The sequence below is a fragment of the Homo sapiens genome, chromosome 22 (assembly GCF_000001405.40).
Source record: "Homo sapiens chromosome 22, GRCh38.p14 Primary Assembly".
Classification (NCBI taxonomy): domain Eukaryota; kingdom Metazoa; phylum Chordata; class Mammalia; order Primates; family Hominidae; genus Homo; species Homo sapiens.
In genome coordinates, this window is record NC_000022.11 from 41,184,023 (window position 1) to 41,205,311 (window position 21,289).

The 21,289-nt window shown below is 47.4% G+C and overlaps 1 long non-coding RNA gene and 2 pseudogenes across 1 annotated transcript, besides 5 other annotated features; 1 reads left to right on the forward strand and 2 right to left on the reverse strand.

Annotated features, from left to right (window-relative positions):
* Positions 477-1,276: an enhancer, noted in NCBI's record as "OCT4-NANOG-H3K27ac-H3K4me1 hESC enhancer chr22:41580503-41581302 (GRCh37/hg19 assembly coordinates)". NCBI's record gives its function as "activates a minimal SCP1, AML or CMV promoter by ChIP-STARR-seq in naive H9 embryonic stem cells {active_cell/tissue: H9 hESC(naive)}" and the evidence as "EXISTENCE:reporter gene assay evidence [ECO:0000049][PMID:30033119]".
* Positions 1,192-13,479, reverse strand: EP300-AS1 (EP300 antisense RNA 1). Its single transcript, NR_110514.1, has 3 exons — positions 13,252-13,479; positions 11,460-11,499; positions 1,192-2,301 (listed from the first exon to the last, which is right to left on the reverse strand). It is a non-coding gene; the product is annotated as an EP300 antisense RNA 1 (long non-coding RNA).
* Positions 5,705-6,166, reverse strand: LRRC37A14P (leucine rich repeat containing 37 member A14, pseudogene; annotated as a pseudogene).
* LOC646927 (uncharacterized) lies at positions 5,729-6,184 on the forward strand (annotated as a pseudogene).
* Positions 13,139-13,638: an enhancer, noted in NCBI's record as "H3K4me1 hESC enhancer chr22:41593165-41593664 (GRCh37/hg19 assembly coordinates)". NCBI's record gives its function as "activates a minimal SCP1, AML or CMV promoter by ChIP-STARR-seq in primed H9 embryonic stem cells {active_cell/tissue: H9 hESC(primed)}" and the evidence as "EXISTENCE:reporter gene assay evidence [ECO:0000049][PMID:30033119]".
* Positions 13,333-13,602: a silencer, noted in NCBI's record as "silent region_13780". NCBI's record gives its function as "represses an Ori minimal core promoter by ATAC-STARR-seq in GM12878 lymphoblastoid cells {active_cell/tissue: GM12878}" and the evidence as "EXISTENCE:reporter gene assay evidence [ECO:0000049][PMID:35858748]".
* Positions 13,793-13,922: an enhancer, noted in NCBI's record as "active region_19107". NCBI's record gives its function as "activates an Ori minimal core promoter by ATAC-STARR-seq in GM12878 lymphoblastoid cells {active_cell/tissue: GM12878}" and the evidence as "EXISTENCE:reporter gene assay evidence [ECO:0000049][PMID:35858748]".
* Positions 13,933-14,002: an enhancer, noted in NCBI's record as "active region_19108". NCBI's record gives its function as "activates an Ori minimal core promoter by ATAC-STARR-seq in GM12878 lymphoblastoid cells {active_cell/tissue: GM12878}" and the evidence as "EXISTENCE:reporter gene assay evidence [ECO:0000049][PMID:35858748]".

Below are 21,289 nucleotides of genomic sequence, written 5' to 3' on the forward strand. Positions count from 1 at the left end.
ACCTAAATAAATGGAAAGACATTCTTGTTTATAAATCAGAAAACCTTATATTGTTAAAGCAATACTCCTGGGCCAGGGTCAGTGGCTCATGCCTGTAATTCCAGCACTTTGGGAGGCCGAGGCAGGCAGATCATGAGGTCAGGAGATCGAGATCGTCCTGGCTAACACGGTGAAACCCCATCTCTACTAAAAATACAAAAGATTAGCCAGGCATGGTGGCACGTGCCTGTAACCCCAGCTACTTGGGAGGCTGAGGCAGGAGAATCCCTTGGACCTGGGAGGTGGAGGTTGCAGTGAGGCCAAGATGGCACCACTGCATTCCAACCTAGGTGACAGAGTGAGACTCCGTCTCAAAAAAAAAAAAAAAAAAAAAATTAACAGGCTGAGCACAGTGGCTCACACCTGTAATCCCAGCACTTTGGGTTTGGGAGGCTGAGGCAGGAAGATCACCTGAAGTCAGTTCAAGACCAGCCTGGCCAATATGGTCACCTCTACTAAAAATACAAAAATTAGCTGGGTGTGGTGACACACGCCTGTAAGTCCCAGCTACTCGGGAGGCTGAGACGGGAGGACTGCTTGAACCCAAAAGGCGGAGGATGCAGGGAGCTGAGATCACACGACTGCACTCCAGCCTGAGCTACAGAGTGGACCCTGTGTCAAAAATTAAATAAAATAAAAAACAAAAGCCTATTTAAAAAATTTTTTTGTTTTCAGACAGGGTCTGTCTCCATTACCCAGGCTGGAGTACAGTGGCACGATCTCAGCTCACTGAAACCTCCACCTCCTGGTCTCAAGTGATCTTCCTGCCTCGGGAAGCTACTCAGCTTCCTGAGTAGCTGGGACCACAGGCACATGCCACCAAGCCTGGCTAATGTTTCTTTTGTTTTGTTTTTTGTTTTGTAGAGATGGGATTTTGTCATGCTAATCTTGAACTCCTCCCAAAGTGCTGGGATTACAAGCGTGAGCCACCATGCCCAGCTGAAAGGCTGACCCTAAAATACATATGAAAATCCAAAGAAGCCAGAACAGCCAAAATAATCTTGAAAAATAAAAACAAATTTGGAGCACTCACACTTCTTGATTTGAAAACTTACCATGAAGCTATAGTAATCAAGACTCTATGGTACTGGCATAAGGACAGACATTTAGATCACTGGAATAGATCTGACAATCCAGAAATAAATCCATACATTTATGGTCAATTGATTGTTTATAAGGTTGCCAAAATAATCCAATGGAGAAAGAGTAACATTTTTAACAGATACTTCTGGAACAACTAGACATCCACATCTAAAAGAATAAAGTTGGCCGGGCATGGTCGCTCACGCCTGTAATCCCAGCACTTTTGGGAGGCCGAGGCAGGCAGACCACGAGGTCAGGAGATCGAGACCATCCTGGCTAACATGGAGAAACCCCATCTCTACTAAAAATACAAAAAATTAGCCAGGCGTGGTGGCAGGCGCCTGTAGTCCCAGCTACTCGGGAGGCTGAGGCAGGAGAATGGCGTGAACCCAGGAGGCGGAGCTTGCAGTGAGCCGAGATCGCGCCACTGCACTCCAGCACTCCAGCCTGGGTGACAGAACAAGACTCTGTCTCAAAAAAAAAAAAAAAAAAAGAATAAAGCTGGAGGCCAGGCACGGTGGCTCACGCCTGTAATCCCAGCACTTTGTAGGGCAGAGGCGGGCAGATCACTTGAGGTCATGAGTTCGAGACCAGCCTGGCCAACATGGTGAAACCCCGTCTCTACTAAAAATTTAAAAATTACCATAGTGATGGGGCCTGTAATCCGAGCTACTCAGATGGCTGAGGTGGGAGAATCACTTGAGCCTGGGACACAGAGGTTGCAGTGAGCTGGATCGCACCATTGCATGCCTGCCTGGGCAATAGAGTAAGCCTCCATCTCAAAAATAAATAAAGTTGGACCCCTACCTTATACCAAATATAAAAATTTACTCAAAATGGATCATAGACCAAAACATAAACACTAAAATATTAAAATCACAGAAGAAAATATAAGTATAGGCCAGGCACAGTGGCTCATGCCTGTAATCCCAGCACTTTGGGAGGCTGAGATGGATGAATCACGTGAGGTCAGGAGTTAGAGACCAGCCTGGCCAATGTGGTGAAACCCCATCTTTACTAAAAATACAAAAATTAGCTGGGCGTGGTGGTGGGCACTTGTAATCCCAGCTACTTGAGAGGCTGAGGCAGGAGAATCGCTTGAACCCGGGGGGCAGAGGTTGCAGTGAGCCATGATCGCTCTATTGCACTCCAGCCTGGGTGACAAGAGTGAAACTCCATCTAAGAAAGAAAGAAAAAAAAAGAAAATATAGTTATAAATTTTCATGATCTTGGAATAGGCAATGGTTTCTTAGATATAACACCTAAAAAGCACAAGCAACCAAAGAAAAAACAAATTAGACCTCAAAACTTTCATGCATCAGAGGACATGACCAAAGAAGTAAAAAGATATACAGAATGGGAGCATATATTTGCAGATCACATATTTCTGTATCTAGACTATACTTAAAAATTTCGGCCGGGCACAGTGGCTCATGCCTGTAATCCCAGCATTTTGGGAAGCTGAGGCGGGCAGATCACCTGAGGTCAGGAGTTTGAGACCAGCCTGGCTAACATGGTGAAACCCCTGTCTCAACTAAAAAAAAAAAAAAAATTAGCCAGGCACAGTGGCAGGTGCCTGTAATCCCAGCTACTCAGGAAACTGAGGCAGCAGAATTGCTTAAACCCGGGAGGCAAAGGTTGCAGTGAGCCAATATCGCGCCATTGTACTCCAGCCTGGGTGACAAGAGCATGACTCAGTATCAAAAAAAAAAAAAAAAAAAAGGCCAGGCACGGTGGCTCACGCCTGTAATCCCAGCACTTTGGGATCACGAGGTCAGGAGATCGAGACCATCCTGGCTAACATGGTGAAAACCCGTCTGTATTAAAAATACAAAAAATTAGCCAGGCGTGGTGGCAGGCGCCTGTAGTCCCAGCTACTCAGGAGGCTGAGGCAGGAAAATGGTGTGAACCCGGGAGGTGGAGCTTGCATGAGCAGAGATCTCGCCACTGCACTCCAGCCTGGGGGACAGAGCAAGACTCCACCTCAAAAAAAAAAAAAAAAAAAAAAAAAAAGAAAAACAAACTTACTCTCAACAATTAAAAAAGGAGTAATATAGTTTTTTAAATGGGCAAAGGATTTTAGTAGATATTTCTCCAAAGAACATATACAAATGGCCAATAAGCACACCAAAAGATGCTCAAAACCGTTAGTCATTAGGGAAATGCAGGTCAAACCAAAATGAGATACTGCTTCACACCCACTCAGATGGCAGTAGTCCAAAGGACAATACCAAGTATTGGCTAGAATAGGGAGAAACTAGAACCCTCATACACTGCTAGTGATCATGGAAAATGGAAAACAGTCTAGCAGTTCCTCTAAAAAGTTCAACAGAGTTGGCCGGGCGCGGTGGCTCACGCCTGTAATCCCAGCACTTTGGGAGGCCGAGGCAGGCAGATCGCGAGGTCAAGAGATCGAGACCATCCCGACCAACATGGTGAAACCCCATCTCTACTAAAAATACAAAAATTTTAGCTGGGTGCGGTGGCACACGCCTATAGTCCCAGCTACTCGGGAGACTTAGGCAGAGAATTGCTTGAACCCGGGAGGCGGAGGTTGCAGTGAGCTGAGATTGTGCCACTCCACTCCAGCCTGGCAACAGAGCAAGACTCCGTCTCAAAAAAAAAAAGAAAAAAAAAAAGTTCAACAGAGTTACCATAGGACCCAGCAATTCTCCTGAGTATACACCCAAGAGAACTGAAAACATATGTTCACACAAAAACACATACACAAATGTTCATCAAAAGTATAAGCAATTCAGGCCAGGTGCGGTGGCTCACCCCTGTAATCCCAGCACTTTGGGAGTCTGAGGCGGACGGATCATTTGAGGTCAGGAGTTCAAGACCAGCCTGGCCAACATGGCGAAACCCCGTCTGCACTATAAATACAAAATTAGCCCAACATGGTGGCACTCGCCTGTAGTCCCAGCTACTCGGGAGGCTGAGGCACAAGAATCGCTTGAACCCGGGAGAGGGAGGTTGCAGTGAGCCGAGATCGCAGCAGTGCACTCCAGCCTGGATGACAGAGTGAGATTCCCTCTCAAAAAATTAAAATAAATATAGATATGTATCAAAAATAAAATACATTTAACATACCACTTAGCAATCTCATGTCTAGATATTTACCCAAGAGAAATAAAAACATATGTCCACACAAAGACCCTCATGTGACTGTTGATAGCATTTGATAGCATTATTAAAAATAGCCAAACGATAGGAACCACTGGAATACCTAACAGCTACTAACAGCGTAAACAATCGTGATACATTCAAACAATGCATTATCACCCAGCAATCAAAAGGAACAAAGAGCAAATAAACAACATGAATGAATCTGAAAGCGTTATGCTAAATGAAAAGAGCCAGATTTGCTGGGTGCAGTGCCTCACACCTGTAATCCCAGCACTGTGGGAGGCCGAGCCAGGAGGATCGCTTGAGACCAGGAGTTTGACTCCAGCCTGGGCAACATAGTGACACTTGTCTCTACAAAAATAAAATAAAATAAAATGAGTAATCATAACTAGCCAAAAAAAAAAAAAAAAAAGAAAAAAAAAAGCCAGATGCAAAAGAGTAAATCCCATATGGATTTCGAGAAAAGACAATAAAGGAAAGCAGTGGTTTCGAGGGGGAAGTAGTTGGGAAAGGGCAAGAGGCACAAAGGAGCTTTTTGGGGTGATGGAAGTGATGGTGGTGCTTTCACAACTGTGTACGTCTGTCAAAACTCATTGATTTAAAAAAGATGGATTTATTGTATATAAATTATATCTCAATAAATTTGAATGCCACAATGAGACACCAGTCATACTCACAAAAAAGGCTAAAACAAAATGTTGGACAATACCAAATGTTAGTAATGATATAAAGCAATGGAAACTCTCATCTAATTCTGGTAGAATGTAAAAATAGTGAAACTATTTTGGAAAAAAGTTTGGCCATTTCTTTTTTTTTTTTTTAAGGCAAAGTTTTGCTTTTGTTGCCCAGGCTGGAGTGCAATGGCGTGATTTCAGCTCACTGCAACCTCCACCTCCCAGATTCAAGCGATTTTCCTGCTTCAGCCTCCCGAGTAGCTGGGATTACAGGTATGCATCACCATGCCTGGCTAATTTTGTATTTTTAGTAGAGATGGGGTTTCTCCATGTTGGTCAGGCTAGTCTCGAACTCCTGACCTCAGGTGATCTGCCCGCCTCGGCCTCCCAAATTGCTGGGATTACAGGCGTGAGCCATGGCACCCAGCCTTTTTTTTTTTTTTTTTTTTTTTTTTTGAGATGGAGTCTTGCTCTGTCGCCCAGGCTGAAGTATGCAGTGGTGTGATCTCGGCTCACTGCAACCTGTGCCTCCCAGGTTCAAGCAATTCTCCTGCCTCAGCCTCCCCAGTAGCTGGTACTATAGGCACAAGCCACCATGCCTGGCTAATTTTTGTATTTTTAGTAGAGATGAGGTTTCACCATGTTGGCCAGACTGGGCTCGAACTCCTGACCTCAGGTGATCCACCTGCCTCAGCCTCCCAAAGTGCTGGGATTATAGGTATGAGCCACTGCATCCTGCTGGCCATTTTTTTTTTCTTTTTTTTTTAAGATGGAGTCTCATCAGTTTTCCATTGGTCTACAGACCATTCTGCCTTGGATGCCTTTGCTTCCTGCTGCTCGCTGAGAAGCTTCATCAGGAGGCCTGTTCGTGACATGAGCTTGGCACAGGTCCCTTGCACATGTGTTTCTGAACATTCCATTTTCAAGGTCCAGATAACATGAGACATGAACCTTCTCACATCCTCATTGGGGATGAGGGACCATAGCTGCTGGGTTAGCTGAATTTCAAACTGATCACCTGGGGACGAGAGCAATGGGTAATTGAAGCTTTTGGGCTTGGGGGACAGGTCAGTGCCCATGCTGTTGTATTCCCATTTTGTCTCAGTTTGTTTAACAGTTTGCTCTAAGTTGAATGCAGTCCCAGTGGAATCTGCCTCAGGAGGATGATTGTAGTTTGTGTTTTCAGAGATGGTGCCTTTTGGCATAATAATGTTTTCCATAAAAACGATTTCTTCAAAGGCAAAAAAAAAAAAAAAAAAGAAAAAAGAAAAAAAGATGGAGTCTCGCTCTTGTTGCCCAAGCTGGAGTGCAATGGCGCGATCTCGGCTCACTGCAACCTCCGCCTCCCGGGTTCAAGCGATTCTCCTGCCTCAGCCCCCCAAGTAGCTGGGATTATAGGTGCCTGCCACCATGCTGGGCTAATTTTTATATTTTTAGTAGAGATGGGGTTTTGCCATGTTGGCCAGGTTAGTCCCAAACTCCTGACCTCAGGTGATCTGCCCACCTCAGCCTCCCAAAGTGCTGGGATTACAGGCATGAGCCACCGCGCCCTGCTGGCCATTTCTTATATAGTTACTCATTCATTTTCCCTATGTCCCAGCAATTCTACTTCTGGTATTTATTCAAGAAAATAAAAATATTTGTCCACAAAAAGGATGTTTACAGCAGGATTATTCCCCGTAGCTAAAACTGGAAACAGCTCAAATGTCCATCAACAGATGAATGGATAAACAAATTGGTACAATGGAATACTGCACAGCAGCAAAAATGAATGATTATAATATGTGCATCGACATAACTAAATCTGAAAGACATTATGCTGTGTGAAGGAGAACTCAAAAGAGTACATGCTGCATGATTCTATTTATATGAAGTTCTAGAGCATATAGAACTAAGTTATGATTATAGAAATCATAATGGTAAAATATGTTGCAAAAATATTAAATACAATTTACACTTCTATATTTTAAAAATTAAGCTGAAACAGGGATTAAGTTAGTATTCAAAATACATGCCATCAGATCCAGTACACCTGCAAGGACAGGGTCACAGATTTGACTTTTAGCTTCTTAGCCACGGAAGGAAAGCGTTCAAAACAATCAGTTATATGATTGTATCCAAAAGATGGGTGTGGGGGCGGAATCAGCTATTGGCCGGGCACAGTGGCTCATGCCTGTAATCCCAGCACTTTGGGAGGCCGAGGTGGGAGGATCACTTGAGCTCAGAAGTTCAAGACAAGCCTGAGCAACACAGCGAGACCCCATCTCTACAACAAATTTTTTTTCTTTTATTATTTATTTTATTTCTTTATTTTTTGAGATGAAGTTTCGCCCTTGTCACCCAGGCTGGAGTGCAGTGGCTCGATCTCGGCTCACTGCAACCTCTGCCTCCCAGGTTCAAGCGATTTTCCTGCCTCAGCCTCCCGAGTAGCTAGGATTATCAGCACATGCCATGTCCGGCTAATTTTTTGTATTTTTGGTAGAGAGAGGGTTTCGCCATGTTGGCCAGCCTGGTCTGGAATTCCTGACCTCAGGTGATCCGCCTGCCTCAGCCTCACAAAGTGCTGGGATTACAGGCATAAGCCACTGCACCCAGCCAAAAAAATTTTTTTTTTAATTAGCCCAGCCTGGTGGTGCAGGCCTGCAGTCCCAGCTACTCGGGAGGGTGAAGCAGGAGGATCACTTGAGACCAGGAGGTCAAGGTTACATGAGCTATTATTGCACCACTGTACTCCAACCTGAGCAACAGAGTGAGACCTTGTCTCTTTAAAAAAAAAAAAAAAAAGAACAAAAATAACAAGTATTTTTTACATTTTGGAATTGAGATATGAGAGAAATTCCCACACTGCACCACAGTTGAGGTAGTGGACAACCAAGTTCAGTCTACACACATTCCACTTGGCTGTTGCTTAAAAGGTCTTGTGATGTAACAACAAAGTAAACTTCAGTTGAAGCACCTTTATGAGAGGCAATGACACATGAATCGGACCCCACTGAAACCAGTAATAGGGATAAATGGACATGCTGTTAGGGTATAAGACAGCCAAAAAATTTTCTCTCAGGATAGACATTACAGCCCTAATAACACACTTGATTCTTTGCTTTAGCCTAATAAGGAAAGCAGATTTCCAATCAGTGAGAGGAGTTCCCCTCCGCCAGCGATTTGGGAAACTGTTGGGAGTTGTGGTGGTAGCAGAACACAGGAGCAAGCCACTCAGGAGCTGGACAAGGGTGGTAGCAGTGGGGATGCAGAAAGGGGACATACTGGAGATGTGTTTTGTGGTGAGAAGTAGTTCAGATTCAGAACTTGCTCACAGATTTGCAAGTAGGAGAAAGTGAAATCAAGGCTAATAGTTCCTAGGTTTTTGTTTATAATTTGGTTTTCTCTTGTGATTACATTCTTTCACTTCACAGTTTTTATTGAGAGCCTGCTAAATGCCATGTTACATTCACGGTGCCTGATTACAGAGGTGGAGAAGATAAGGACCTGCTCTCGCTTGATTAAGAGCACGGATGCTGAAGCTAGTCTGCTTGGATTCAAATCCCAGCTCTGGGCTGAACATGCTGGCTAATGCCTATAATTCCAACACTATGGGAGGTAAAGGTGAGAGGATCACTTGAGCCCAGGAGTTCAAGAGCAACCTGGGCAACATAGTGAGACTGTCTATACAAAAAAAAAAAAGAAAAAGAAAAAGAAAAATTAACTGGGCATGGTGGCACATGCCCATAGTCCCAGCTAGTGGGGAAGCTAAGGTGGGAGGATGGCTTGAGCCCTGGAGGTCAAGGCTGTAGTGAGCAATGAATGATCTTACCACTGCACTCCAGCCTGGGTAATAGAGTGAGACCCCGTTTCAAAATATAAAAAATAAAAAATCCCAGCTCTGCCACTAACTAACTGTATGACCATGTGCAAGTTACTTAACCTACCAAGACTCAGTCTCCTCATCTGTAAAATGGGCATAATAAAAGTAGCCACCTTCTAGAGTAATAGGCCCGATTCTAAATGCCTAACAAGATTAAACATTAGCCAGGTGCGGGCTCCCACCTGTAATCCCAACAATTTAGGAGGCCAAGGCGAAAGCATTACCTGAGCCTAGGAGTTTGAGACCAGCCTGGGCAACATGTCAAGGCCCTGTCTCTACAAAAAATACAAAAAACTAGCCAGGCATGGTGGTGCACACCTCTGGTCCCAGCTACTTGGGAGGCTGAGGTGGGAGGATCACTTGAGCCCGGGAAGTGGGGGTTGACATATTCCAGCCTGGGCAACAGAGCAAGACCCTGTCTCAAAAAAAAAAGAAAGAAAAAGAAAAAGCATATTAAGTTTTAGCTATTACAATTTAAGGAGCTTTCATTCTAGTGAAGGGAAGCAGAAAATAAACTAGCACTAAATATTAGGTTATGGTAAGTTCAAAGAAGAACATTTAAAAAGGAGATATAGAGAACTTCATGAACTACTTCACTTAGGTGCTCCGGAGATGACATTTAATCTGAGACCTAAATAGCAAGGGGCCAGACATGAAAATATCTAGGAAAATAACATTCTGGAAAGAAACAATGAATGCAAACTCCCCAGGGCGAGAACAAGCTTAGCACATCCCAGGGACAGAAAAAAGGGTAACAGCCGGGCGCAGTGGCTCATGCCTGTAATCCCAGCACTTTGGGAGGTCAAGGTGGGTGGATCATTTGAGGTCAGGAGTTAGAGACCAGCCTGGCCAACATGGTGAAACCCTGTCTCTACTAAGAATACAAAAAAATGAGCCGGGCATGGTGGTGCACGCCTGTAATCTCAGCTACTCGGGAGGCTGAGGCATGAGAATCAGTTGAACCCAGGAGGTGGAGGTTGCAGTGAGCTGAGATCGCACCACTGCACTCCAGCCTGGGCAACAGAGTGAGACCCTGTCTCAAAAAAGGGAGGGAGGAAGGGAGGGAGGGAGGGAGGGAAACAAGGCTGGAATTCAATGATAGAGGAAGAAAACGATGCAAAATGAAGTTGTAAAGCAACTAGTTGACAGATCAGTAGGTCCTGATAGGTCAAGGCAAGGAATTAGATGATGATGATGATGATGGTGATGATGATGATGATGATGATGATGATTATCATTATTATTTTGTAGATGGAGTCTCGCTGTGTCTCCCAGGCTGGAGTGCAGTGGCGCAATCTCAGCTCACTGCAACTCAAGTGATCTCCTGACCTCAAGTGATCCTCCTGCCTCTGCCTCCCAAAGTGCTAGGATTACAGGCGTGAGGCACTGCGCCTGGCCTTAGGTATTATTTTAAGCGCAATGAGGGGCTAGGGGAGCACTTTAAGAGAAGGGTGGCATGATTTGTCTTACATTTTAAATAAATCAGTCAGGCTGTTGTGTGGAGAATAGGTTTTAGGGTGGCAAGAAAGGAAGCAGAAAATTAGGAAGCTATTATAGGACTGCAGGCAAGAAATGACAAGTGACTTCATCTGGGGTAGTAGGCGATGGACAGATCTGGGATGTGTCTTAGATATAGCATCGGCAAGACTTACACTTTAACCTGAGCGCAGTGGCTCACACCTGTAATCTCAGCACTTTGAGAGGCAGAGGCAGGAGGATGGCTTGAGTCCAGGAGTCTAGAGACCTGCCTGAGCAACACAGTGAGACTCTGCATTTCTTAAAAATAAAAAAAAAAAAATTAGCTGAACGTGGTGGCATGCACCTGTGGTCCCAGTTACTCAGGAGGCTGAGGCAGGAGGCTCACTTGAGCCCAAGTCAAGGCTGAAGTGAGCCATGATCACACCACTGCACTCTAGCCTGGACAACAGTGAAACCCTCAAAATAAATAAACAAACAAATAACTTCTGTCTTTCAAGTTTGTTGGGAGGATAAACAAGCTATAGGATAAGTGAAAAACACTTAGCCCCAGCACCTGACACATATCATAGGCAAAAGGGTAACAGCCGGCTTCTCTTCCCTTTCACAGTCCTATGGGGATTTTAAAAAAATAGCATCTCTTGGTATACTGTCAGTGTTTGTGGTGATGGACTACCACCTGTGTAGACCTCTCAGCATGTATTAATAAATACATTCCTCAAAAACGGACATTTGGGAGCCGGGCATGGTGGCTCACGCCTGTAATCCCAGCACTTTAGGAGGCCGAGGTGAGCAGATCACCTGAGGTCAGGAGTTCAAGACCAGCCTGGCCAACATGGTGAAACCTTGTCTCTACTAAAATACAAAAAATTAGTCTGGTGTGGTGGCGGGCGCCTGTAACTCCAGCTACGCAGGAGGCTGAGACAGGAGAATCACTTGAACCTGGGAGGCACAGTTTGCAGTGAGCTGAGATTGTGCCACCACACTTCAGCCTGGCTGACAGAGTGAATGAGACTCCGTATCTCACACACACACACACACACACACACACACACACACACACACACACATGCATTTGATAAGCACTTGCCAATTAACCTTATACATCCAGAAATAACATCACCAAATTAACTACCATTATTCTAAACATAAACAATTTTGGGTCTTTTAACTGATACTTCAAAATCCCTACTTACTTTTCTCATATTCCTTCCAATAATTTGTTAGGAGGTGGACCTGTCAATAGGAAGGACAAAAAATTATTATCACCAATACTCTCAAAGTAATCGTCACTTTGGGTAGAAACCCCAGTACACTCGGGGAATTTTCAGAATTCAATCAAGCCCATCCAACTGTCTCCAAGTTTTGACACTGCCTAAAGGACTCCTCACAGTTGGTTTAGCCCAACCCAGTAAGAAACATTTAACAAATAATTAAAAGTGCTGTGCCAGGGTGGTTGTGTTGCCGAGATACGGTTGTTGGTAGCTGGGGAGTGGCAGGCAGATCCAGCCAAGAATTGTGCCCTAAGCCAGGAGCTCTGATGATGAAATCACAGGATGTTTGAGTTTGGGGCTTGATGGTCATCCCAGGTGGTTTCCTATCGTGGAAAACATTTGATGTATAAGAGTAAGGCTCAGCCAGGCGCGGTGGCTCATGCCTGTAATCCCAGCACTTTGAGAGGCCGTGGAAGGCGGATCACCTGAGGTTGGGAGTTCAAGGCCAGCCTGACCAACACGGAGAAACCCCGTCTCTACTAAAAAAAAAAAAAAAAAAAAAAAGGCCGGGCGTGGTGGCTCATGCCTGTAATCCCAGCTACTTGAGAGGCTGAGGCACGAGAATCGTTTGAACTCGGGAGGCGGAGGTTGCAGTGAGCTGAGATTGCACCATTGCACTCCAGCCTGGGCAACAAGAGCATAACTCTGTCTCAAAAAAAAAAAAAAAGAGTAAGGCTCCACTGGGTGCGGTGGCTAACACCTGTAATCCCAACACTTTGGGAGGCCGAGGTGGGGAGATCACTTGAGGTCAGGAGTTCAAGACCAGCCTGGCCAACATGGTGAAACCCCCGTCTCTATTAAAAACACAAAAAGCAGCTGGGTGTGGTGGCTGGCGCCTGTAGTCCCAGCTACTTGGGAGGCTGAGGCAAGGAGAATTGCTTGAACCTGGGAGGCAGAGGTTTCACTGAGCCGAGATGGCGCCATTGCACTCCGGCCCTGGGCGACAGAGTGAGACTCCGTCTCAAAAAAAAAAAAAAAAAAAAAGAGTAAGGCTCTATTGCTACTCCCTGATTTAATAAACGTCTCTGGGACAAAATTTCTTCATCTGTAAAAAAGGTAAATAAAAAAAACGCTTACTTGGCAAGTTCATTGTGACGAATTATCTACGACACCGGAATGGAAAGTGCTTTACAGATTGCAAAGCACTCCTTACACATGAGTAATTAGTGTTCACAGGTCCAGCCACTTTTGGGGAGGAGGAAAGTGTGGTCTTTTAGAGACCAAACGTCTTTCTAAAGTCCTGACAGCCAACGAAGGGCTCGGTGATCTCTGCGCTTCAAACTCTGCCCAATTCTCAAAGCCTGGTTTAAGTACACTTTTCCCTCAGCCTAAGGGAGTGGCCCAAGGGCAAACCGTCCCGGGTTCGTGTCCCACCTCTGCCTCAAAGATTACACCCTCTTAGGACAGGTGCGTGTCCCTGGTGGCCTGGGCTGCCAGCTCGGGAAGGAGGAGGTGGCAACCGCACCCGGGCGGCCGAGTGCTTAATAATGGCAGTTGCCCTGCCAGCCCGGTCACCTGTCACTCCCTCCTCCGACTTCTCCCGCACCGCGGCCGCAATCCAGCCCGGACACTCTGAGGGCTCTCTCTGAGCTGGGCACGGTCCTCGCTGCTCGGCCGAGTGCAGCCCCCTCACCTCAGTGCGACTGAGACAAAGCAAGGGTCCCACCGGCCCCTGTCCCCTCCCTAAGGCGCGCCCTCAGGGCGGGAGACCCACCTCAGCCAGCCCCCCAGCTCAGTGGTCCAGAGGCTCGGGTCCCGCGCTGACGCCCAGCGCCTCCCTCCTCCACAGCCGTCACTGACCGCTCGCTCGCCTCTAGCCTGGACCCCGCTGTCCAGCAGTCCCGGCTGGCCCGCGCCGCGCTCCTCCCGCTCTGGCAGTCCTGGCACTGGTAGGACGCCCGCAGCCTTCCACCCTAGAGGGCGCCGGGCGGGCACGCGCTGGGGGCGACGGGGGTGGGGCGGGGGAGGCGGGGCGACGCAGCGCGGGGCGGCCGGCGGTTGGTGCTCGCAGCCCGCGCGCCCGCCTTCCCGGCCACGTGACCTTTGGGCCCCGCCCAGATCGGGAGTTCCGCGCGGACTCTTGGTGCGACCCCGTCCCACTGAGCGCTCGGGTCGGGACCTTCCCGGTGTCCCTGTGGGGCAGAGTCCCGTTGTGCAGAAGAGGCGAGCTGAGGCACGGTGGCAGGCGGGGCGTCCAAGCAGTTAGCGCCGCGCCTGGCCGCTCGTCCGCGCGGGAAAGCGTTGTCTCCCTTCCTTCGGATGGAATTGGAACGGCAGCTCTCGTAGCGCCCGAACTGTGCGGTCCTTGATTTCACTGCTGTACCCACAGTGCGCAGAGCACAGGGGCACGCGGTACATTATTTGAATGAATAACTTTCTTATCCTGGCCTTTCTCTAACTCTCTCACTTCTACTTGGGTCACCCGCCCCCTCCCCAGGAGTCTTATAAAACAACCAGGGGAAGAGGAAACAGAAGTGGCTCATATGGGTAAAAGCCCTCGTCCTGCAAATCAGTGACACAAGGGAGTTAGTCCATCCAATGTACAGTTTTAAAAAGATTGCTACGTAGAAAAATAATAGGATAGGGTAAGAGGAGAACCCAGCTAGGAGCTTCAGTGGGATCCAGGGTGTTGATATGATGGTGGTCTGGATTTAAGTGATGGCAGTAGGGATAAAAAGAAGTAAAAATTCCAGCCTGGGCAACATAATGAGACCCTGTCTCTACAAAAAAAAAAAAAAAAAGTTTTTTTTTTTTTTTTAATTATCCGTGTGATTGTCACTCCTGTAGTCCCAGCTACTGGGGCGGGGTTTGGGGGTTGGCTGACGTGTGAGGCTCCACCAGGAGGTGGAGGCTGCAGTGAGTCGTGATCGTGCCACTGCACTCTAGCCTGGGCGACAGAGGGAGACCCAGTCTCAAAAAAATAAATAGAAGTAAAAAATATTTGAGGTAGCTTTTGGAGAATAAACGGGATTTGCTGATGGATTGAACAATAAGGGATGGAGAGGGAGAAATCAAGAGGAAATCACTGAATGGTTGGTAGTGCTATGTATTAAAATGCAAAAACTGCCGGGCGCGGTGGCTCACGCCTGTAATCCCAGCACTTTGGGAGGTCGAGGCAGGTGGATCACTAGGTCAGGAGTTCAAGACCAGCCTGGCCAACATGGTGAAACCCTGTCTCTAATAAAAATGCAGCAATTAGCCTGGCATGGTGGTGCACGTCTGTAGTCCCAGCTACTCGGGAGGCTGAGGGAGGAGAATCGCTTGAACTTGGGAAGCAGAGGTTTCAGTGAGCCAAGATCATGCCACTGCACTCTAGCTTGGGCGACAGTCAGTTTCAAAAATAAATAAATAAAATAAATAATAAGTGTGCAGTACTGGGCACAGTATATGGTAGTTATGATCATCCTATTAGACACTGGGATGGTAGCAACCGGTTGAGAAAAATAACCTTTATTAGTTGCTTAATCTTTTATTAATACTTTAGGGGCACAGCCATACATTTCACAGAGAATCTGCTAGTGACAAATCATCTTATTCATCAAATATTTATCTATTTATTTATTTGAGACGGAGTTTCGCTCTTTCTTGCCCAGGCTGGAGTGCAGTGGCGCAATCTCAGCTCACTGCGACCTGTGCCTCCTGGGTTCAAGCGATTCTCCTGTCTCAGCCTCCCAAGTAGCTGGAATTATAGGTGCCTGCTGCCACGCCCAGCTAATTTTTGTATTTTTAGTAGAGACGGCGTTTCACCATGTTAGCCAGGCAAGTCTCGAACTCCTGACCTCAGGTGATCTGCCCGCCTCGGCCTCCCAAAGTGCTGGGATTACAGGTGTGAGCCACTGCGCCTGGCCTCATCAAATATTTATTTAGTGCCTACCGTGCACCAGGCCCGGTGCTGGACTCTGGGAAAACACAGGTGAATTTCTGTCCTCACAGAGCTTCCTACCTCCTGCAGGGAGACAGTGAAGACTTATCAAACATCTAATTCCAACTGAGGAGGAATTTAGCAGGTGTTGTGATGGAGCCTAGGCAAGGGGGGAAAGGCCTGCTAGGTAGGGAACATACCTTTACTTGCAGGATAAGAAGGAGCTATTTCTGGGAAGGGAATTGTGGGGGAAGAGCATTTCAGGCAGAGACCCAGAATATAGAGACTGAGGTGGAGAAAAGTTCCAGTTAGCAGGAGAGCACAATGGAAAACCTTTGAAGGTTTTAAGCAGGCGAGTAAATTGATTTGATGTCTGTATTACATTTAGTGTCTGTGCGAAGAATGAACTGGAGGTGGATCAAGAGAAGAAGCAAGGGGGCCAGGTGCAGTGACTTGTGCCTGTAATCCCAGCACTTTGGGAGGACAAGGTGGGTGGATTGCTTGAGTCCAGGAGTTCAAGACCAGCTTGGGCAACATGGAGAAACCCCCTCTCTACAAAAAATACAAAAAATAGCCATGCCTGGAGGCGCACACCTGTGGTCCCCACTACTCAGGAGGCTGAGATGGGAGGATTACTTGACCCTGGGAGGTTGGGGCTGCAGTGAGCTGTGATTGTACCACTGCACTCCAGCCTGGGTGGTGACAGAGCAAGACCCTACCTCAAAAAAAAAAAAAAAAAAGGAAAAGAAAAAAAGATGTTTCTTGTGGCTGGATGTGGTGGACACACCTGTAATCCCAGCACTTTGGGAGGCCAAGACAAGTGGATCACTTGAGGTCAGGGGTTCTAGACCACCCTGTCCAACATGGCGAAACCCTGCCTCTACTAAAAAAAGTACAAAACATTAGCCCAGCATGGTGGCACGTACCCATAGTCCCAGCTACTCCGGAGACTGAGGCAGGAGAATCGCTTGAACCTCAGAGGCGGAGGTTGCAGTGAGCTGAGATTGTGTCACTGCACTCCAGCCTGGATGACAGAGCTTGACTCTGTTTCTTTTCTTTCTTTCTTTCTTTTTTTTTTTTTTTTTTGAGACGGAGTCTCACTCTGTCGTCCAAGCTGGAGTGCAGTGGCATGATCTCGGCTCACTGCAACCTCCACCTCCTGGGTTCAAGCAATTCTCTGCCTCAGCCTCCTGAGCAGCTGGGGTTACAGGCACCCACCAACATACCCAGCTAATTTTTGTATTTTTAGTAGAGACGGTGTTTCACCATCTTGGCCAGGCTGGTCTTGAACTCCTGACCTCATGACCCACCTGCCTCGGTCTCCCAAAGTGCTGGGATTACAGGCGTGAGGCACCGTGCTGGGCTGAGACTCTATTTTAAAAAAAAAAAAAAAAAGCCAGGCGCAGTGGCTCACGCCTGTAATCCTAATCCCAGCACTTTGGGAGGCCGAGGCGGGCAGATCACCTGAGGTTGGGAGTTCGAGACCAGCCTGACCAACACGGAGAAACCTTGTCTCTACTAAAAATACAAAATTAGGCCAGTCACGGTGGCTCACACCTGTAATCCCAGCTCTTTAGGGAGACTGACGTTGGTGGATTAACTGAGGTCAGGAGTTCGAGACCAGCCTGACCAACATGGTGAAACCCCGTCTCTACTAAATACAAAAATTAGCCTAGCATGGTGGCGCATGCCTGTAATCCCAGCTACTCGGGAGGCTGAGGCAGGAGAATCGCTTGAACCCAGGAAGCAGACGTTGCAGTGAGCTGAGATCACGCCATTGCACTCTAGCTTGGGCAACAAGAGCGAAACTCCGTCTCCAGAAAAAAAAAAAACAAAAGCAAAAAATGCATACATCAACAGTACAAGGAAGTAAAAACCTGAGCATCCAGTTTCAGCGTATGAGATAAGCAGAGCAGGAACACCAGTGACAGGAACCGTTGGCGTAAGTTGAAATGGCCGTTTATTAGGAATTCAGTTGAAACATCTTATTAAGCACAGGTTGCTAAGCAATAGTGGCCGCCCCAGAACAGTAACAGTGTGGCAGTTCCTTCTGCTATGGAGCTCCTGGGCAGGGGTTTCATCCTGCAGCAAAGGTACCCTTTTTGGCTGGACTAATTCATCCCTCTACATGTGGACCTAATACGCTCCTCTCTTTTAAGGCCCTCCCTCTGTGCATCACTGTCCCTCTGTCTGGGATCATTGATCTGTCTCTCTCTACTAGATCACTCCCAATAGCAACACAAACGTGCTCTTCTGTTCCAAACTATGTACATAAATCCCTTAAACTCACCTCTTCTGCTCTATGCCCTGCCATTGTGCTATTCCACCCAGACAACTTTTTTGTTGTTGTTGGTTTTTGTTTGTTTGTTTGTTTTTTGAGAGAAAATCTTGCTCTGTCGCCCAGGCTGGAGTACAGTGGCATAATCTCGGCTCACTGCATCCTCCACCGCCCTGATTCAAGCAATTCTCCGGTCTCAGCCTCCCGAGTAGCTGAGACTACAGGCGCATGTCACCACACCCGGCTAATTTTTGTAGTTTTAGCACAGATGGGGTTTCACCATATTGGTCAGGCTGGTCTCGAACTCCTGACCTCAGGTGATCCACCTGCCTCAGCCTTCCAAAGTCCTTGGATTACAGGCATGAGCCACTGTGCCCGGCCAATATTTTTCTATTTTTAGTAGAGATGGGGTTTCACCATGTTAGCTAGGCTGGTCTCAAACTCCTGACCTCAAGTGATCCACCCACCTCAGCCTCCCAAGTAGCTGGGACTATACGCTTGTGCCACCACACCAGGCTAATATTTTGTAATTTTTTTTAATTGACACAGGGTTTTCACCATGTTGGCCAGGGTGGTCTAGAATTCCTTTTTTGTTTTTTTTCCAAGCTGGAGTGCAATGGCGCGATCTCAGCTCACTGCAACTTCCGCCTCCTAGGTTCAAGCGATTCTCCTGCCTCAGCCTCCGGAGTTGCTGGGATTACAGGCATGCCTCACCAAGCCCGGCTAATTTTTGTATTTTTAGTAAAGATGGGGTTTCACCATGTCGGCCAGGCTGGTCTTGAACTCCTGACCTCAGGTGATCCGCCCACCTTGGCCTCCCAAAGTCCTGGGATTACAGGCGTGAGCCACCGCGTCTGGCAGAACTCCTGATATCAAGTTATCCACCTGCCTCAGCGTCCCAAAGTGCTGGGATTACAGGTGTGAGCCACCATGCCCAGCCAGACAACTTTTTTTTTTCTCTGTCACCAGGGTAGAGTGCAGTGGCATGAACATGGTTCACTGTAGCCTCAACCTCCTGGGCTCAAGCAATCCTCCCTCCTCAGCCTCCAGAGTATCTGGGACCACAGGTACATGCCACTACACTTAGCTAATTTTAAAAAATTTTTAGCTGGGCACAGTGGCTCAGGCCTGTGATCCCAGCACTTTGGGAGGCCAAGGCAGGCGGATCACGAGGTCAGGCGATCAAGACCATTTGCCCAGGTGGGCGAATCACCTGAGGTCGGGAGTTCGAGACCAGCCTGACCAACATGGAGAAACCCCATCTCTACTAAAAATACAAAAAAAAAAAAAAAAAATTAGCCAGGTGTGGTGGTGCATGCCTGTAATCCTAGCTACTTGGGAGGCTGAGGCAGGAGAATTGCCTGAACCTGGGAGGCAGAGGTTGTGATGAGCCGAGATCGCGCCATTGCACTCAAGCCTGGGCAACAAGAGTGAAACTCTGTCTCAAAAACAAACAAACAAAAAAACTCTAATGCCGTTCCCTTGCACAGAATAAAATCCAAGCACTCCACAAGACCCTGAATGACCTGGTCTCAGCTTTCTCTCAAACCTCATCTTGTATCACCCTCTCCATGTTTTGCTATATCCATCTACTCTCTCTGTCTTTCTGTTTATTGCATACCAAGCTTGAGTTGGCCCCAGGACCTTTGCACTTGCTGTTCCACCAATGTGGCCTTTGCACTTGCTGAACCAACCTGTCTTTTTCTTTTTTTTTCACCACTATCTTATTCCAGAACATTTATTTTTATTTTTATTTTTTGAGATGGAGTCTTGCTCTGTTGCCCAGGCTGGAGTGTAGTGGTGCAATCTCGGCTCACTGCAACCTCTGACTCCCTTGTTCAAGCGATTCTCCTGCCTTAGCCTCCCAAGTAGCTGGGATTACAGGCACCCGTCATCACACCCAGCTAATAGTTGTATTTTTAGTAGAGATAGGGTTTCATCATCTTGGCCAGGCTGGTCTCGATCTCCTGACCTTGTGATCTGTCCATCTTGGCCTCCCAAAGTGCTGGGATTACAGGCGTGATCCACTGCACCCGGCCAGGTCAATGAGTTTTAAAGATCACCTGTGTGTATTAAAGGTGAAGATTTAAAAAGGGTGACCACAGGAGGTGGAGGTTGCAGTGAGTGGAGATCCCACTGCATTCCAGCCTGGGCGACAGGGGAGACTCCATCTCAATCAATCAATCAATCAATAAAAGAAAGAAAGAAAGGGTGACCAGTTGAAGGGCTGCTGCAATGGGCCGGTGGCTTGTATTAGAGTGGTAGTGGTGGAGGAAATACAGGATATATTTTGGAGGTAGAAAAACCAACACGTTGACAGCATGGATACAGGGGTTTAGGGTGGAAGGGGTTGAAGGAAAGAAAGACCTCTAGGAAGAGTTTGACATCTCCACGGCGGACTTCAAATTTAGGCATATATTTTATATGTATTCAGCCTCCACATATTGCATTTAGAGTCTCAATTAATTCACTGGGACACGGCATGGCATAGGGAAGGAATCTGTACTAAATTTGGAATCCCAATCCTGTGTGATCTTGGAAAGTGCCTAAACCTGAAGTGGTGAAGAGCCACCACTTCCTCTTCTTTCAAACGGTGATAGGATGTCTAAGGGTTTGAAAAGATGTTTGCAAAGCTCCACAACAGCACCTAGAACTCAGGGTGTCTAAGGAGGTTGTGGGAAACCCTAACGGGATGAGGCAGAGAGCCTCAGATTCGAGGTTTTTACCCAGGAGAGAGTGGTGAAGGAGGAATGTTGTAAGATTTTGAGCAGGCTGGACATTTACAGTATTGAGAAAAAGAATATTCCAGTTTCAGCCGGGCGCGGTGGTTCACGCCTGTAATCCCAGCACTTTGGGAGGCCGAGGCGGGTGGATCCCGAGGTCAGGAGTTCAAGACCAGCCTGGTGAAACCCCGTCTCTACTAAAAAATACAAAAATTAGCCGGGCTTGGTGGTGGGCGCCTGTAGTCCCAGTTACTTGGGAGGCTGAGGCAGGAGAATCGCTTGAACCTGGCAGGCGTAGGTTGCAGTGAACCGAGATCGCGCCACGGCACTCCAGCCTGGGCGACAGGGCAAGACTTCGTCTCAAGAAAACACACACACACACACACACACACACACACACACACACACACACACACACAGAGTATTCCAGTTTCTTCCTTTTTTTTTTCTTTTTAATCTGGAGTAGTCCAGTTTCTGCCTGAGTTGGAAATGAGTCCCTCTGCTATGCATCCCAGCAAAAGGGCACCTTAAATATCTAACCCGGGAGAGTACGAGGTTATTCCTGGAGTCTGGAACAGTGACTATCATAGGTGCTCAATAACCGTTTAGGGAAGAATAACATCCAGTGAAGTCAAGAGGTTGGCGTAATTGGAACACTCGGCGTGAGGCGCACCAGGTTTCCAGCGCCCCTGGTTTCCACGTCGCTATGGTAACGACTCACCCTGCACACATGCGAACTACAATTCCCATAACCGCCCGCGGCTTCCCCGCCCACAGGGAGAGAATGGCGGGAGCAGGCACGGAACCGGCTTTTCCTCCTTCCTGCAGCGTGATTGGCCCGCGGCTCAGGGAGGCGACCAATGAGTGCTCTCGCGGAGAGCGACGGGGC